The 18,402-nt window shown below is 41.2% G+C and overlaps 1 protein-coding gene and 1 pseudogene across 11 annotated transcripts in view, besides 3 other annotated features; both read right to left on the reverse strand.

Annotated features, from left to right (window-relative positions):
• The window catches only part of PARD3 (par-3 family cell polarity regulator), a 705,736-nt gene that overhangs the window by 369,269 nt on the left and 318,065 nt on the right, over nt 1–18,402 (reverse strand). The window lies entirely within an intron of this gene.
• Nucleotides 5,797–6,297: an enhancer, noted in NCBI's record as "H3K27ac hESC enhancer chr10:34773554-34774054 (GRCh37/hg19 assembly coordinates)". NCBI's record gives its function as "activates a minimal SCP1, AML or CMV promoter by ChIP-STARR-seq in primed H9 embryonic stem cells {active_cell/tissue: H9 hESC(primed)}" and the evidence as "EXISTENCE:reporter gene assay evidence [ECO:0000049][PMID:30033119]".
• Nucleotides 6,298–6,798: an enhancer, noted in NCBI's record as "H3K27ac hESC enhancer chr10:34774055-34774555 (GRCh37/hg19 assembly coordinates)". NCBI's record gives its function as "activates a minimal SCP1, AML or CMV promoter by ChIP-STARR-seq in primed H9 embryonic stem cells {active_cell/tissue: H9 hESC(primed)}" and the evidence as "EXISTENCE:reporter gene assay evidence [ECO:0000049][PMID:30033119]".
• ELOBP4 (elongin B pseudogene 4) lies at nt 9,750–10,049 on the reverse strand (annotated as a pseudogene).
• Nucleotides 9,964–10,500: an enhancer, noted in NCBI's record as "H3K4me1 hESC enhancer chr10:34777721-34778257 (GRCh37/hg19 assembly coordinates)". NCBI's record gives its function as "activates a minimal SCP1, AML or CMV promoter by ChIP-STARR-seq in naive H9 embryonic stem cells {active_cell/tissue: H9 hESC(naive)}" and the evidence as "EXISTENCE:reporter gene assay evidence [ECO:0000049][PMID:30033119]".

Below are 18,402 nucleotides of genomic sequence, written 5' to 3' on the forward strand. Positions count from 1 at the left end.
TATGCAATTTTCTAATGACATATTAATGTTTCCATCCAAAAGCCAAGCATTTTTCTGAGGCATATTAAATCTATACCATTACAATTCTCACTCTGAAACTGACAATATAACCACTCTGATCAAAAATCTTCTAAACACTCACCTGAGTACAAGAAAAAATCTGAATAAGATTGTATACATTTTATATAAAGGCTGTATATTAATGTTATATAAATGTTAATATTGTGGTTGTGACAGAACAGGAACTTTTCTCAAAATCTTATCATTGAAATGAATCTCTCTGTATCATTTCTTATACCTGCATCAGATTCTATGATTAGCTCAAATTTAATTTTTTTTTTTTTTTTTTTGAGACAGAGTCTCGCCCTGTCGCCCAGGCTGGAGTGCAGTGGCACAATCTTGGCTCACTGCAAGCTCCACCTCCCGGGTTCACGCCATTCTCCTGCCTCAGCCTCCCGAGTAGCTGGGACTACAGGCGCCTGCCACCACGCCCGGCTAATTTTTTGTATTTTTAGTAGAGACAGGGTTTCACTGTGTTAGCCAGAATGGACTCTATCTCCTGACCTCATGATCCGCCCACCTCGGCCTCCCAAAGTCCTGGGATTACTTTGGGGCGCGTGAGCCACGGCACCCAGCCTTTAAATTTTTTTTAAAGCACAAAGAGTTAAACAAAATCCCAGTTGCAAATTCTCAATGTCAAGGCCTGCCGCAATCGAGACTTAGGGTACCTTCCTAACATTATTTCCGATAATATTCTTCTTATCACCCAATGTTTAGCCCCTACAGCCACTGCCGGTGCCCTGTAGCCTGTCCACACAGACAGCTCCCTGAACATGCACCACAGTAGACAACTGCATGGCGCACCAGTGCTGCAACTTCCATTATCAGGAACCTTTGCCCTCCTCTCCACCCACTTCAGTGTGTCCTGTACTCTACAAGTCCTCCTCAAATGACAGCACCTCCTCCAACCCATCAGATCTAGTATTTGTGTCCTGGCACCAAGTGTTTTGCGGACTCAGAGAGGGGTCTTTGAGGACAGTTTAGCAGAAAGACTGTTTCTAATATATGGCAGGATTAAGGAATGACAACAAAGGGTATAGTGCCCTCTGCTCACATGAGGCAAGGGGAGCTGTGACATTCCCCAGAGGGCCACAGCTGCACAAAAGCCACAGCCAGGAAGGCTGAATAAGCCTGCCTTTTCCATCTTTCCACTTCTGTCAATGCCCTGCTGCTGCAGTCCTTGCAGGCACAAGGCAGACGGCATAGAGCCTGGACAGTCAGTGTGAGGGGCTGGCCTCTTGGCATATGGAGCAGAGCACAGATAGGTGTGGAGGATCAAAGGAAACAATCCAGCTCAGACGTACTAGTAAAATTCCTCTGCCTCTTTCTCCTACTGCACCTTGCTTCTCCTTTTTTGTCTTTTTAGAGACAAGGTCTTGCTCTGTCACCCAGGCTGGAGTGCAGTGCAAGATCACAGCTCACTGCAGCCTGGAACTCCTGGGCTTAGTGCTCCTCCAGCCTCAGCTGCACCAGTAACTGAGACTATAGGTGGACACCACTACTCCCGGTTAATTAATTTTTTATTTTTTGTAAAAACAGGATTTCACAGTGTGGCCCAGGCTGGTCACAAACTCCTGGCCTCAAAGTGAAACTCCCATCTCAGCCTCCTAAAGCCTTGAGATTACCAGCATGAACCACCTCGCCCAACCTGTTTCTACTTTTAACAGCATCGGCCAGTTATTCAACTAGAGGACAAGTATTGACTCTATTCATTTTTACAACTCATCCACTCTAGACACACACCCCAACAAAGTAGGAACAAAATGTTTTAAAGTTGGCTAAGATATATCAGTCAGGAACAAAAATACTTCCCAATTCGTTTTTTAAATAGATGTATTCCAATATTTTATTTTTATTTTAAACTTTTATTTTAGCTACAGGGGTACATCTGCAGGTTTCTTTTTCTTTTTTTTTTTTTTTTTTTCTTTTTTGAGACGGAGTCTTGCTCTGTCACCAGCCTGGAGTGCAGTGGCGCGATATCGGCTCACTGCAACCTCCGCTTCTCAGGTTCAAGCTCTTCTCCTGCCTCATCCTCCCAAGTAGCTGGGATTACAGGTGCCTGCCACCACATCTGCATAATTTTTGTAATTTTAATAGAGATGGGGTTTCACCATGTTGACCAGGCTGGTCTCAAACTCCTGACCTCAGGTGATCCACCCGCCTCAGCCTCCCAAAGTGCTGGGGTTACAGGTGTGAGCCACCACGCCCAGCCCCTGCAGGTTTCTAATACAGGTAAGTTTTGTGTCACAGGTTTGGTGTACAGAATATTTCACCAACCAAGTAATAAGCATAGTATCCAACAGTTGTTTTATTTATTTATTTATTTATTTATTTTTATCATCACCCTCCTCCCTTTCCCTCTCCCTCTCTCCACCCTCATGTAGGCCCCAGTGTGTGTTCAGGGACTCCTTTCCTTTCATCCCCAGGGTAGAACAGAGTGGTTAAGGGGCATAAGAAATGGACATCAGAGGTGAAAAGCCTTTGACTTCTCTCTTCCTGCCTCTCAGGCGAGAGTGAAGGACCTGGCCTGAGGCAATGATGTAAATGACCAGCTACTTATCAAAACAGGCATTGGCTACTGAATCCTGTGCATAAAAACGTGGTATCCCCAGGTCCTTTGCTAAGCCAGTACAGTTCAGGGGAAAAGTTAGTTGAGCCCCTGCCAGACACATCAGGGAGTGATCTGGCCACCCAGAGAGCAAATGGAAAGCAGCAGTTCACAACAATGACTTTTCCTCTTTTATATATATTTTGGTGTCCTTATTTTGCTATGGGAGAGCTACCATCCAGCTACTTCAACCAATACATATTTGATTAGCATCTAACTAGACATCATTATCCTAGTGATTTTCAAAACTAATAAATATGGGGCCAAGATGTTGAGAGTCATTTACTGTAGAAAAGTAGAAAAAAAAAATCACTCTAAAGTGAATCCCATTCTGACCATTCATTCATTTATTTGAGACAGGGTCTTGCTCTGTCTCCCAAATGGGAGTAGAGTGGTACAATCATAGCTCACTGCAGCCTTAACTCCTGGCCTCAAGCAATCCACCCGCCACAGCCTCCTATGTAGCTGGGACCACAGGTGCCCCCCACCATGCTCAGCTACAGGCACACACCACTGTGCCCTGCTAATTTTTATCTTTTTTTTTTTTTTTTTTTTGAAGCAGCATCTTACTCTGCCTCCCAGAGTGGACTGCAGTGGCACCATCATTGCTCACTGCATCCTTGAGCTCCTGAGCTCAGGGAATCCTCCTGCCTCAGCCTCCCATGTAGCTGGACCCACAGGTGCCCCCCACCATGCCCAGCTAATTTTTTTATGTTCTGTAGAGACAGGGTCTCACTTCGTTGTCTAAGCTGGTCTTGAACTCCTGGCCTCAAGTTATCCTCCCGCCTCAGCCTACCAAAGTGCTGGTACAGGCATGAGTCATCATGCCCGACCTGGCTAATGTTTCTATTTTTTAAATTAATGGGTCTCGCTATATTACCAAGGCTGGTCTCAAACTCCTGGCCTCAAGCAGTCCTGCTGTCTCGGTCTCCCAAAGCGCTGGGATTACAGGTGTGAGCCCCTGCCCCAGGCCTCTGACCATTCAAAAAGGAACAAATCCTCTAACAGATTGCTACTCCCCAGCGACTGGCTCAGGACAGGTAAAAGGCAAATGTTAGTAAATGTCCAACAGGGACAGTTAGAAGAGTACTAAATACCATGAGAAGCCCAGATGAAAATAACTAAAGGTATTTACATACCTGGTACCAGAGACTTTCACTGAGAGAATATTATGGAATTATTTTTCTAGATTCTTTTTGTACTTTCAGAAACATACCTTAATGAGCAATGAGGAGATTGAAGCTGAGACCAGGGGAATATAAGGTGGAAAGAAACTGAGAGAAGAAAAAAGAAGCAAGTTAGAGGGAGGATAGAGGGGCATGTGAACAGGTAAGAGTGAGCTATTTTCCTTAAAATTAAAAAAAAAAAATGCAAGGTGCAGTGGCTCACGCCTGTAATCCCAGCACTTTGGGAGGCCAAGGCGGGCAGATCACCTGAGGTCGGGAGTTCAAGACCATCCTGACCAACATGGAGAAACCCTGTCTCTACTAAAAATACAAAAAAAAAAAATTAGCCAGGTGTGGTGGTGCATGCCTGTAATCCCAGCTACTCAGGAGGTTGAGGCAGGAGAATAGCTTGAATCTGGGAGGCAGAGGTTTCGGTGAGCCAAGATCGCACCACTGCACCCCAGCCTGGGCAAGAAGAGCGAAACTCCATCTCAGAAAACAAACAAACAAAAATGTGTTTCTCTTGCAGATGATAAACAAAAATGAACAAAACATGAGAAAGAAAAAAGACACTTTGGGAGGCTGAGGCAGGTGGATCACTTGAGCCCAGGAGTTTGAGACCTGCCTAGGCAACATAGTGAGACCTCGTCTCTACAAAAAATACAAACATTAGCTAGGCACAGTGGCACGCATCTGTGGTCCCAGCTACTCTGGAAGATGAGGCAGGATAATTGCTTGAGCCTGGGAGGTCATGGCTGCAGTGAGCCCATTTCATGCCACTGCACTCAAGCCTGGACGACAGAGTGAGACTCTGTCACCAAAAAAAAAAAAAAAAAGAGAGAGAAAAAAAAACAGAAAAAAGGGGGGAAGCTTATGCTATTGTTATTTATAATATTGCTTTTCCTCATATATGTGCTGAGTAGGAGATGTGCTACCTTTCTATTTCCATATGGCCAACAGCCCCAGATAGAATGTAAGACCCACAAGGGGATAGAACGTATCTTTCTTCCTCACTGTCTCACCCTCAGTGCCCAAAACAGTGCCCGGAAAACTAAATACAGTTGATTCTAGTTTTGCACAATAGTTATGTTATATAAAGTAACTGTAAACACTGAATTAGCAAATACTCAACCACTGCTCCTAGGAGAAATACAAGGTTAGGTGGAGCCTCTGACCACAACCCTGTTGTTCACCATTCAATACAGAGCCTTGCCTTAGGTGTGATCTGTATAAAGACATCTTAATTAATATATATTGCTGATTAAACTCACGGCTAACAGGACTATAACTCATACCTGAACAAAGCTTACCTAATAATATATTTTCTCCGGAAGGTATATCACAGACTAACTGTGCTTAGGAATGCTAGACATCATGTTGGTATTATGCTTGGGCGCCATTTTAACAGCAAAATCACCAGCAAAAAGCACGAAAAACATGGCACCAAATAGCCCATGAAAAGGACACTTTTTTAAAATATGAAAACCAGAGCAAGAAGGCAGTTTCCCATTCTTCAGCCTCAACTGGAAACATATTAGTCAAGTGACTCAAACTGTTTGCCATCCAACACATGTTCATGAATGAGCACAAAGGTGCCCCGAGTATTAATTTAGGAGCTACAAATAAATTTTAGCAAACAGCTAAAATCACAAATACGGACTTCACAAAGCATGAGAATTTTAGGTAAATATTTGCTAAATGAACGACTCTCATAAATCTTTAAAGGAACTATACCACTCCCTCTGTCAGATTCCATTCCAGATACTGCTCTTGTGCTTATTTTCTTCATAGGCAATCTTTTGACAGGAGTGTGCTGTTTCATTGCTCCTCTCGAGTACTCAACTAACATAGTTTTTGTTGTTGTTGTTTGTTGTTGTTGTTGTTTTGCCAAGAGTGCCATAAATGTCTTTCCCTTTATCAACCCATATTTTTGAGCCCCATGTCCCTAGGATCTCATAATATACAACATAGACCTGGTCTCTGCCCTCGTGAAGTTTTCAGTGCCCTGGAGAATGTAGACATGATCCAGCACTTCAGCGTGATCCTGCTGCTTCATAAGTACACAGCACTACAGGAACATCTAAGAGAGGCACTGTCTTTAAGAGCTTTAGCAAAGACTTCAAGTGAAAAATAACTGCTAAATTTTACCTATGAACCTTTTGCATTCTCCTGCAGGCCACCTCTTGTGGAAAGCCTCTGACCACTCCTCCACAAGCTCCTTTCGTGGCTGCCAGATCGTGTCATTGTGTTTGCCATGCTGCCCTCCTAGGTTTTAGGACCTTCCTCCTCATTGGCAACCCACTCCTAGACAACCTCACCTTTCACTGTCATATCCACAGAGGCCAGGCCCTTAAAAGTATCCGAGACAAGTCTCAATCAATTTAGAAGTTTAGGCCGGGCACAGTGGCATACATCTGTAATCCCAACACTTTGGGAGGCCAAGGCAGGCAGATCACCTTAGGTCAGGAGTTCGAGACCAGTGTGACCAACATGGTGCAACCCCATCTCTACTAGAAATACAAAAATTAGCCGGGCGTGGTGGTGCCCACCTGTAACGCCAGCTACTCGGGAGGCTGAGGCACAAGAATCCCTTGAACCTGGGAGGCAGAGGCGGCAGTGAGCCAAGATCATGCCACTGCACTCCAGCCTGGGAGACAGAGCAAGACTCTGTCTCAAAAAAAAAAAAAAGTTCATTTTTGCCAAGGTTAAAGATATGCCCCCAACACAGCCTCAGGAGATCCTGAGAACAATTGCCCAAGGTGATTTGTTACAGCTTGATTTTATACATTTTAGGGGACAGAAGTTATAAGCAGACATCAATCAATACATGTAAGGTGTACACTGGTTTAGTTTGGAAAGGTAGGACAATGAAGCAAGGGATTCCGGGTCATAGATTCAGAGCTTTTTGACTGTCAATTGGTTGAAAGAGTTAAGTTATTATCTAAAGATCTGGAATAAACAGAAAGGAGTATCTGGGTTAATATAAGGGGTTGTGGAGCCCAAGGTTCTTACTATGCAGATGAAACCTCCAGGTAGCAGGCTTCAGGGAGAATAGATGGTAAATGATTTTTAATCAGACTTAAAAAGGTGTCAGACTCCTTGCGAGAGAGATTTGTGGGGCCATTTCAAAATACATCACAGAAATATATTTTGGGGTAAAATACTTTGATTTCTTTAAGGTCCAGCTACCTGTCATTTTGTTATATATTTTATTGCTACAAAGAGACTATAATGTGGCTGTTTAAACGTTTTGGGTTTTTTTTTTTTTTTTTTTTTTTGAGACAGGGTTTTACTTTGTCACCCAGGCTGGAGAGCAGTGTCACGATCGTAGATCACTGCATCCTTGAACTCCCAGGCTCACACGATCCTCCTGCCTCAGCTTACCAAGCAGCTGGGACTACAGGTGCGTGCCACGATGAGTGGCTAATTTTCTTATTTTTGTAGATACAGTGTCATGTTGCCCAGGCTGGTCTCAAAATCCTGGGCTCAAGTGATCCTCCTGCCATGACCTCCCAAAGTGTTGGGATTAGAGGCACGAGCCAGCCTGTTTTAATGTTAATGCTGGTCAGTAATACCTGAATTCCAAAGGGAGGAGGGTATAAAAAGGTACATCCAATCCCCCTTTCCCATCATGGCCCGAACTAGTTTTCAGGTTTACATTGGTATGTTCTTGGCCAAGAATGGGTCCATTCAGTTGGTTAGGGGTCTTAAAATTTTATTTTTTGTTTACAGTCTGTTTTGGTTTTGTTTCAGGGCAATGGTGGTGGTGCCTGGCCAGATGAATGGGGCAGAAGGAAGACAATACATGAGCAGAGAAAACTGCATGTGCAAAAGCCAGACACTGAAATTCAAGAGAATTAAAGAAACTACAAGAAATTCAGTATGGCTGTACCAGATGTGATTGGAAACAATGTGATTAGAAGGTGACAAAGCAAACAAGGTAGCTTTGGATGAGGCAACTCAGTGTCTTCTAAGTCAGAGACTGTCAAAGGTTGATGTGCACAGAAACCACCTAGGAATCTTGTTAAAGAGCTTCAGTAGGTCTGGAATGGGTAGGATCTGAAATTCTGCATTTCATTGTCCTGGTGACATCAGTGCTGCTGGTCTGAGTGACCATTACCCTTTTGTGACTCTGAGCAGCAGGGCTATGTCATACTATATACATATAATTGCTATATATAAAATAAATATATTATATATGTACACATATATAATTCAGCTGTGATTTTTAAAAATGTGAACTTCATACTGGCAGTCACGGATCCTCATCATTTCTCAGCTTGATTTATTCTCTCTCTCCAGGCCTGGCCGTCTCCAAGTCATCCTCTACAAAGCACTCATGATACCTTTTGTAAACCACAAATCAGACGTCATAACTCAGAATTTTCGGTCTGCTTGGGGCACAAGACCATTTTTGTATCCTCTGTGAGCTGAACAATGTCTCTGCACCCTTACACTCAACTGGAACACTCTGCAACTACAGAAGGCCAAAGAGGCTTCCAAGTTCTCTCTTCTGGGCCTCTTCTCACTCACTCTCTTTTCTAAGGTCGGCCGGGCAGGCATTGCCATCTCTGAGAAGTTTAAAAGGTTTCTACAGACTAAGTGAAATCATGCTTGACTTCACTTAGATCTGGTACTTTCTCATCTGTCTGCCTCATTAAATTTTGTGATTCTACCCCCAGTTTTTAATCCAGCAAAGGACACCGAGAAAATGTTTGTTAAAGTGTTACTGTATAAATAAATTAAGAAAATGAATGACTTCCATCTTGAGATACAGGACTTCCATCTATCTCTGTCCTTTTCACATTGATTGTCTCAAGTATTGAAAGGGCAATCTCTGTAGCAAAGAAACAATTACAGATGTTGGAAGGCCCCAGAGAACAAAAAAAAGGGTTTTCTACCAGGAAAAGGACAAAGAATTGCCGCTTCAAATATTGGTGATAAACTCCCTGGCTAGAAATCCCATCCAGGTTTTACTTTTTTTTTTTTTTAACTATTAATTTTGCACTATGGTCCTTCATGCAGTGCTGACTCCCTTATGAGAATATCTGAGTGGGAGTCAATCTAAATTAATTCTTCACATATAATTTTATAGGTATATCTGCACCAAATTCCTCATATCACTTTCATTTTACCAATTTAGTTCAACAATCATGTAATTAAATTTTAAAATTATAACTTCATCTAACAAGTAATTTGTCTTTCAAAAATTGACATTGACTATTGATTGCATTGCAGATATTCTCTAAATGCTCAATGCCCTCTCCTTTGACATTTGTCTTCTATTATTTTATTAAGGATTCAAATACAGCAGTAACTGTCAAGCATTATTCCCCCATTTCTTTATTATTATAACCTTTACTCCACAATACTATATAAAAGCGTAATCTTTTTCTCTTACCTGGGGACTAGCAATTTGCCAATTTCATTTGCCAGTTTTCTGTCACCTCAGGATGTGCGTTTGAAGCTCCTGCACTTTACAAGATTTCATAATTATCCCAGTGTATGTTGACCATCAACAATTACTTCACAGCAGCAAGCCTCTCTACAACTATGAGGTGTTAAACTTCCACTGTAATCTCCATACTTCATTTTTATCAGAGCTGGGCTTTTCATCTTGCACATGAATTTTTTATTTTTATTTTATTTATTTATTTTTATTTATTTATTTTTTGAGACAGAGTCTCGCTCTGTCACCCAGGCTGGAGTGCAGTGATGCAATCTGGGCTCACTGCAGCCTCAACCTCCCAGGCAGAAGGGATCCTCCCACCCCTGCCTCCTGAGCAGCTGGGACCACAGGCACTGGGATGCAAATGAATCTTCATGGTACTAAAACCCTTTTTTTTTTGCCCCCGACATCTAAATCTCTTTTACTGGGGGAAGTGGGCCTCTCACGGACACGCAGAGTGCCCTCTGTGCACGGCTTGCTCGTGAGCACTGCTTCCTGTGTCCTGGGGCTTCCTAACCATGGGATGTGCAGGGCCTCAAGGCCGTCGTCCGCCTGGAAGCCCAGCACCGCTGTGGCCGGGGCTGTGGCCATGCACTTTGGCTGGTGAAGCTACACTCTCCCAGCGTCTTGCCAACATCCAAGAGCTGGTCATCCCTGTACAGCTGCTGAGGATGCCCTCGACGATGCACTTCAACTCAAACACCATGCTAGACACCCTGGCATCTGTGAAGATGGTGATGCAGTGGCACTTGATCATGAGGAACACGCTATCTCTGTGGCCACCTCTCCCTTCAGCACACATGCACGGCCATGTTCTGCCGGGTTCCCAGCAGCCAGCGCCCACAGCCCAGCATGCCATGCGCATGGCCCCGCCGCTTGCCCGCCCCACTAAAAGCTTTCTAAGGAGGTTTACAAAGTCTTTCTTCCAAAGACAAATATCTACAGCTGGGCGCAATGGTTCAAGCCTGTAATCTCAGAACTTTGGGAGGCTGAAGTGGGAAGATCATGTGATGTCAGGAGTTCTAGACCAGCCTGGCCAAGATGGTGAAACCCTGTCTCTACTAAAAATACAAAAATTAGTTGGGCGTGGTGGTGCATGCCTGTAGTCTCAGCTACTAGGGAGGCTGAGGCAGGAGGCAGAAGAATCGTTTGAACTGGAAGGCCAATAATCCCTCCAGGATGTTCCATTCTGGTGAGGACAGGACAAAGCATACACATGTGAACACAGACTACGCCACGAAGAGATCAGTGCTAGGAACAAAAATGAAGTAAAGGATCGGATGCTGCCGGAAGTTGAAAAGCTTTATTTTCTACAGGGGGAGTATGACGGAAGCACTTTAAAAACATTCAAATGGCTCATTATCCACTTCTCTGTCTTAACTGTTCCAGTTTCAAATTAATTCCTTACCACACAACCCTGTACACACTGGCGATTAATAAAGCCATTTGGCACCAACTGGTTGCTCCAAGGCAGCAATAAGACTTCATGGCTCTGAAACATATGGCTGCGTGTCTGTTTATATTACCTTCAAAGTGCAGAGATCTTTCATAGCTAATCTAAACCATTCATTCTCCTCCTTAAGGAAAGAGTAATGTAAAAGTAAACATGCCTTGATCATTTATAATGAGCCAATTAAGTCTGTAATCACTAACATTTGTTGAGCATTCACTATGGGTTATGTATATGCTAAGAACCTTAATGTCATGACTGATCAAATCCTCAGAATAAGGCTATAAAATAGGTTCTATTATTATTCCCATTTTATAGGTATTCCTATTTTACAGGTATGAAGACTTGGTGTTACAGAGATAAGATATCCTGGCAAAAGTTAATCTAACAATAATTAGTGGAGATAAAAATCCAAGCCTCAGTCGTCAAGCCACAGAAAACATGCTCCTATCCAGTATGCATGAAATCCAGGAACACCAAGAACTGAAAGAAAGACTCTCTGGTTTATTTGCACCTTTCTCACCTACATCTACCATCACTGCCATCACACGGTAGGAGTGCAGTAAATGCACATTAGCTGAACTCAACCACACTGCAAGTCAGAGCTGGAAGAAAAGACACTATTCATTAGACAATGACTCATCTCATGCTTGGATCTTGTAATCATTCTTCACAGGGAAAAAGAAAGACCATGAAAAACATTTTAAGAATGAAATAAGTTCCCTTTAGCTAAGACGAGCAAACAGAAAATTCATCACAATTTATTTTATTATTAGGGGATTTGTGAGAAGAAATGGGGAGTGGTACATTGAAGGAAGGGCACATTACAGAGAGAGAGAGAGAGAGACAGAGGGAGAGGGTGTGTGTACACAAAACAAAATGCTCGTGCTTCATATCTATGTCAGAACATTTACTGGGATTAACAGAAATGCGTTGGGTGCCCTTAATCTATACATTCACAAAGTATGTCACTAACATCTTTGCCTCCCGAAAGTGCTGGGATTACAGGCATGAGCCACCACGCCCAGCCTGTCAATATAGTCTTGTGTATTTTCACCAAAAGAGTCTTCCCAGTCAAATGTTTAGTCAATTTAAGATAATATACTTAGCACTCAGTACAGACTAACTCTTTCTTACATATACTGTTCCTATACTAACCTCAACAAAAAGTGGAAAATCCAGGGCAGTACTTAAGACCTCCCCATCCAAACGTCACACTTGTTTGTATACTCTTTGAGTTATATATGTGGTTCTAACACTTCACCAGTCATTAAAATGACGTGGGAATACTCTGTAAAATGCTGGTTCCAGGATCCCCATCAGAAATACTGAAAATTTGGTCTAGGAAGAAGCCCAGGAATTACTTTCACAAGCTCTTCAGGTCATTGTAACATGCAGCCAAGACAGCTCTAGAAGAGAATTATTGCTCTAGAAGAGACAGCATTGCATATCAGCCCTAAGGGACCTCATGAAAAATACAGATTCTGAATGAATAGGTCTGGATGGGGCCTGAGACTCTGCATTTCCATCAAGTCCCCAGACGATGGAGTCACTAGCCACACCGGCTATTTAGATTCAGCTCCTCAGTTACCCTTGCCTCATTTCAAGGGCTCTACAGCTTCATGGAGTCAGTGGTCACAGGATCATCCAAAAACACATCTCTCTGAAATTTTTTTAGTATTAAGCAATGTAATTAATTTTTTAGTATTAAGCAAGGACACTGAATTTAGCTAAAGTATAATTAAATAACCATTAACTATATACTCTCAGTTCTATCAACTCAGAAAAGATCTGAGGGATTTCCACTACTTCTTTCTAACTTTAATTTGAAAAAGTTATATAGAAATAATTGTTTTTCTACTTATCAAACATAGGGCAAAATAATCTGCATTTTCTAACACCTCTTTGAATTTTTTCATGAAATATGTTTATGTTTGTCCCTCTTGGGAATGATAACACATGCACATGACTCCCCAAGGAAGTAAACAAATTTACAGAAGCATTTTTTTATTAAAGTGCTATATTTAGAACTAGCTCACTGTGACAATTCAAATCCTATTGCAAATTTGTATACAAAACAGGAAGTTTCAATAATAATCAAGGAAAACAATAATTCTCTATTTAGCATTTTAAGAAAACCAAACAAATGCTTGGCTGCTTTTTAATTGAGGAGATAAAGCACTTTAATATTGATAAAATGTTTCTGTTATTTAAGTAGCACTTTTACAACTCTAAAGCCAAGAACTTTATCCATAACTTTGCCAGTCTGTCAGACAACCAGGCAAACAGAATTCAACCCAGTCGTGGTTTCCTAGGCAACAAGCACAGATAGAACCACTGGGGGGAAAAAAAATGAAAACAAGAAAAAGCATCGCAGCATTTCCAGTAGGCTTAAGAAATGCATTTTAATTGTCAAAATGTCACAGACAACAATATTGAAAATCATTTCCTTGGAAATGATTCAAAGCAGAATGCCATTTTCATTACAGCAAACGAGGTGTGGAAAAAGAGAAAAATTAGATTCCCTTCCTTTGCTCTGAATTAAGTAGGGATGGTGATCAATCTTATTTGATTTTACAAAATGTATCTACATTAGTACGGATTTCTAATATGCCTCGTTAGTTTTCTCTGCAAACATTACCATACATTGAATCAACATAAAAAGAAGAGTCATCCAGGATGACGGGCTAGCACAGGACGAAGCATGTGGCTGAAGATCATCTGCTGCAAAGACAGGCTCGCACCTGCTCAGGTCTTAATTCACAGGGTAAACCACACACTTCAAAACACCGATTCAAACAGAACAAGGCTGTCCACATTCACGCATGGCTCTAGTTTCCTCATCTATAACAAAAAGGGCTTACCTTCTATCTTAAAAACTTCTGTCCCTAACAGCTTTTGATTTTTGGAAATAAAATATAGAAGGGCTGTTCTGTCTAGAAAGATTGCTTACAAAATAAATACTATATTCTAAAGCATTTTAAAACTTTTTCTTTATAGGACCTAAATATTGACAGTTAACCTTTAGAAAATAATATTTGAAATGTCCTACCACATGGCTATTAAAATGTCTAAATTTTACACCAGCTTTTGTAACCCTGATGGCATTTACTCTTATATCCTGATCAGAAACATTTACTTGGATTAACAGAAATGTGTTGGGTACCCTTAATCTACACTTTCACACGATATGTCACTATAATCTTGTGAAATCATCTGTATTTTCTTCCAAAGAATCTTTTCAGTCAAACACTTAGTCAATTTAGAAACTTAGGTCGAATCGATTAAGTAATTCAGTCAAAACTACCAATATAGTAGCTGCAGGCAAATATCGCTAAAGCGTTTTTCTGATAATTCACCTCTCAATGATTGGAAAATGAGGGAATGAATAGCAAAATGGGAATTCCAAGAACGAAAGTGTTTACCATTTTTTCTGTCTACCTTGTATATCCACAAAGCAAGATTAATGTATTATAATTCATTTTTCTGAGCCAACCACCTGCCACTGAACTTCATTAGATCAATGTTAATGCCTTAGTCAATCAGTTGCACTACTGGAGTGGTGTTGAGTATCTGGCTGCATTTGTGCATATTTCCCTCTGTGATACATACTTCTCCTCATATAAAAGCTAGTACAATGCAAGACATGCAAGTTATAAAAGAATAAGTTGATAATGCAAAGCAAAGTAAATGCCCAAAAATGGAAGCACATGCATACATTACCTTATTCCAATGTCTTCAATCAATTCAAAAAAATGTGACCTGTCTGCGTGTGGCACAGGGGATCTCTACTCCTGGCTCCTACCATTGCATGAGAGAGAATTATTAAATTTTCAGGAATTTCTGAGAGTTGATGGTTAAATAAAATTATTAAAAATTATAATACAGGCCAGGCATGGTGGCTCATGCCTGTAATCTCAGCATTTTGGGAGGCCACGGCAGGCGGATCACCTGAGGTCAGGAGTTCCAGACCAGCCTGGCTAACATGGTAAAACCCCATCTCTATTAAAAATACAAAAATTAGCTGGCTGTGGTGACAGGCACCTGTAATTCCAGCTACTCGGGAGGCTGAAGCAGTAGAATCACTTGAACCTGGGAGGCGGAGACTGCAGTGATCCAAGATAGTGCCATTGCACTCTAACCTGGGCGACAAAAGCGAAACTCTGTCTCAAAAAAAAAAGAAAAAAAAGAAAAGAAAATTATAGTACATAAACTTCCAACTAAACTATATTAAAACAAAGATAATACTCAAAAATCTTCACGTTCGAATTATTTTACTATATTTTATTAGTATCTACACACATGATGCACCTTCTCCATCTATTATCATGGAAATACCATATTACAGTTTGCTACCATGCATCTCATCCCAACTCAACATTCAGTGACATCAATTTGGTAGCCTGAATCTGGCCATAATACTCATATTTACACCATGGAAATGGGAAAATGTGACAAAGCCAGGTTTCTGCGGTTTTCAGAGAGCCGGCTATTAAACATTTCCCAACACAGCAGTGGATCTAGAGAACCCACACAAATTCCCTACTCTCCCGTAGTCACCAAAAATACACAGCACTACAGGATTATGTAGCAACTCTATGGAATCCGGAAACACCTACTGAAGAAACTGTTACTTGACCAGATGCCTATGGCATAAGTAAGGCTAGACAGGAGAGCACCAAAGAGAAGTTTTACCAGACAAAGGGAAAAGAGAGTGCCTAGAGTTAAGCAGGAAGAAGACTCATCCAAGAAATTCAGAGGCCCAGCGTGCTAGTCATGAGGTAGAAGAGACAAGGCTGCAAAGACACAAAACAATTCTTATACACTTGAACAAAACATACCAGTATTCTTAACCGTACTGGGAAGCTGCTGAAGGTTTTTAAGCATGGAGGTAGAAGGAAGAGAGATGTGAATTACTAAACGATCACTTGACTAAACTGGAGAATGGATCAAAAGACTGCCCAAGAAAAGATGCAGAAAAAGTGACCAGAAAGCAGGTCCAGTGCCTCCAAACTTTCTTGATAACATAGCCCTGTTAGGAAAATCTTTCTGAGCATGCAGCTGTATAGGACTTTTATTTAATGATCATTTAAATGCTCAATTCCACTAATACAAACATTATTAAACATATACAAGGAATAGGAAATTTTACAATGTGAGATAATAAAATACAGATATGTTAAGTCCTGATATTTTTTTAATAATTGTTGTTCCCCTAATCCCCATGTTGATCAAAGGTCCCCATTTGTTTTCCATGCCTCAATGGTTCTGCATCACACTTCACAGATCACTGATGAAGCCAGCTTTGGGAGATGAAATGTAGGATGCACTGGTAACAGGATTGATAAGGTCTGCAAAGCTGGAGCCAATTCCACTGTCAGGGAAGACCAAGCTCATGCTCAGACATTCCACACTAGGAAAAACCTCTTCAAAACTTAGCACCATGACTGTGACCAATTTCCAGCCCCCCAACCCAATTTGCCTACTGAAGACAACACAATGGTTGAGCCCAATTTCCTGGCACTCAATTTCGCAGGGGGCAAAAGAAAATGTTAAACTCATTGAGATACCATTGCTTCCTAACTATCTGTACCCATAAACAAAAAAAGCAAAAAAAAAACAAACAAAAACCCACAACTCAACACAAGCACAGTGGTCACTGTGTTCTGGCATCCTACTGCAGACAAGCAGATCTGCCCATCATTGCTTCTGACACCTGCCAAGTAAGACCTCATCCAACACACAGTCACAGTGCCCACAGAAACGTCAGGCTACAGTTCTGTAAGAAGTTCATCAGAGTCCAAATAAAGGAAAATCTGAATTGGCAAGGAGAACCCACATTTATTGGTACCCTTGGAAAGATTAATCACTCGGATAATCAAGGGTAGACTCACTACATTTTCAGACATAGCTGTGAAAACTGAATTTAGAGCCAGCGTGCTCCTGATGTTAACTTACTTTAAGCATTTGCAAAATAAAAGCAATAATTCCAAATAGTGGTCTCTGAATACCCTTTCCCATTAATAGGGGCAAGGCTACTTTGAGAAATGACTGATTCCAGGTATGGGGCAGAAAATATATTAGAAGAGCATGAAACACACTGTCACAGCAGAAAGTGAGGATGCTGCTACCAACAGCTCTCAGGAGTCAGCTTAGAGGGGTCTGGTTATTCAAATGTGGGGCAACTGAAACATCAGTAAGAAGAATAATGCAACCGGCTGCAGTAATAACTATGTTGATGTTTGTGAGTTCTTAATGATATCTTTTAAAAAGAAAAAAAAAAAAAACAGTAAACATGAACCGTGAGGATGTGGCCCCAGAAAACCAACTTATTTTTTCTGAAACCAATAAAGGAAGAGGCTAGCCATGGTGGCTCATGCCTGTAATACCAGCACTTTGGGAAGCTAAGGTGGGTGGATCACTTGAGCTCAGGAGTTTGAGACCAGCCTGGGCAATATGGCAAAACCCTGTCTCTGCAAAAATACAAATATTAGCTGGGCATGGTGGTGTGCGCCTGTAGTCCCAGCTACTTGGGAGGTTAAGATGGGAGGATGCTTGAGCCCAGGAGGTCTTGGCAGCGAGCCAAGATTGCATCACTGCACTGGGTGTCCAGCCTAGGTGACAGAGTAAAACCATGTCTCAAAAGGGAAGAAGAAGAAAAAAAAAAAAGAAACAAAAACAAAACTGATAAAGAAACAGATGAAATTAAGCATTTGGCCTACACTTTCCATATGAACTGTATACCTCAGAGTAACTGGCAAGAATAGCTGAGAAGGAAAAGTTTCTGTTTATAGAAATATTCCCCTACTAAATAAAGGAATTACAGTAATAACAGGTAGACAGATAAAAGATCCAGGTAATAATTACCAGGGGCTGCTCACAAAATGATGAACAACCACACTGTCCCCATCTGCTGATGGAACCATACAACAATGCCTGGAGATAATATTATTACAAATTGAAATCGGAGTTATATTAAGACTCTACATCCACCTATCAGTTTATAAGAAACACCGAGGTTATAGAACATGGTAGATACCACAGGGATGGATTCAGCGAAGTCAAGACAGGAGGAAGCTGCAGGAGAAAGCAAGCCCAATTTCAACGAAGAAACTGAAACACATGCACAGGGGTCAGGCAGGAGGAACAACCTATAGACTAAAAGAATCCGAAGAGATATATCAATCAAATGTAAGGTGTGGATTTCGTGTGGATTCTAAACCAGCCAAATATAAAGCAACATTTACAAAACATTCAGATATTTTAATAACACTATTACATATAGCTTAAGTATTTTTGTTATTAAACAGTACTATTTTTAACGTTTAAAAATAGTATACTATTTTTAAAATGTATACTAAAATGTTTTCAGAAGAAGTGACATGAGGTCTGAAATATGTTTCAAAATAATCCTGTTTGGATGAGTTCGTAGGAGTATAGATGCAGCAAGACTAGCCATAAATTAATAATTGTTAGAGCTGATAGTTGAGCTGTATGTTTAAAATTTTCTGTAATAAAAAATGAAATAATGTGATCCAGCAATGCAGAAGACTAGTGAAAAATATCCAATGTAGTAACACTAAATACCACTGGTCTTCCTATCTGTTGGTTCCACATTCATGGATTCAAACTGAATCCACGGACTGAATCTCAACAGATTGAAAATACT

This window comes from Homo sapiens, chromosome 10 (genome assembly GCF_000001405.40).
Source record: "Homo sapiens chromosome 10, GRCh38.p14 Primary Assembly".
Classification (NCBI taxonomy): domain Eukaryota; kingdom Metazoa; phylum Chordata; class Mammalia; order Primates; family Hominidae; genus Homo; species Homo sapiens.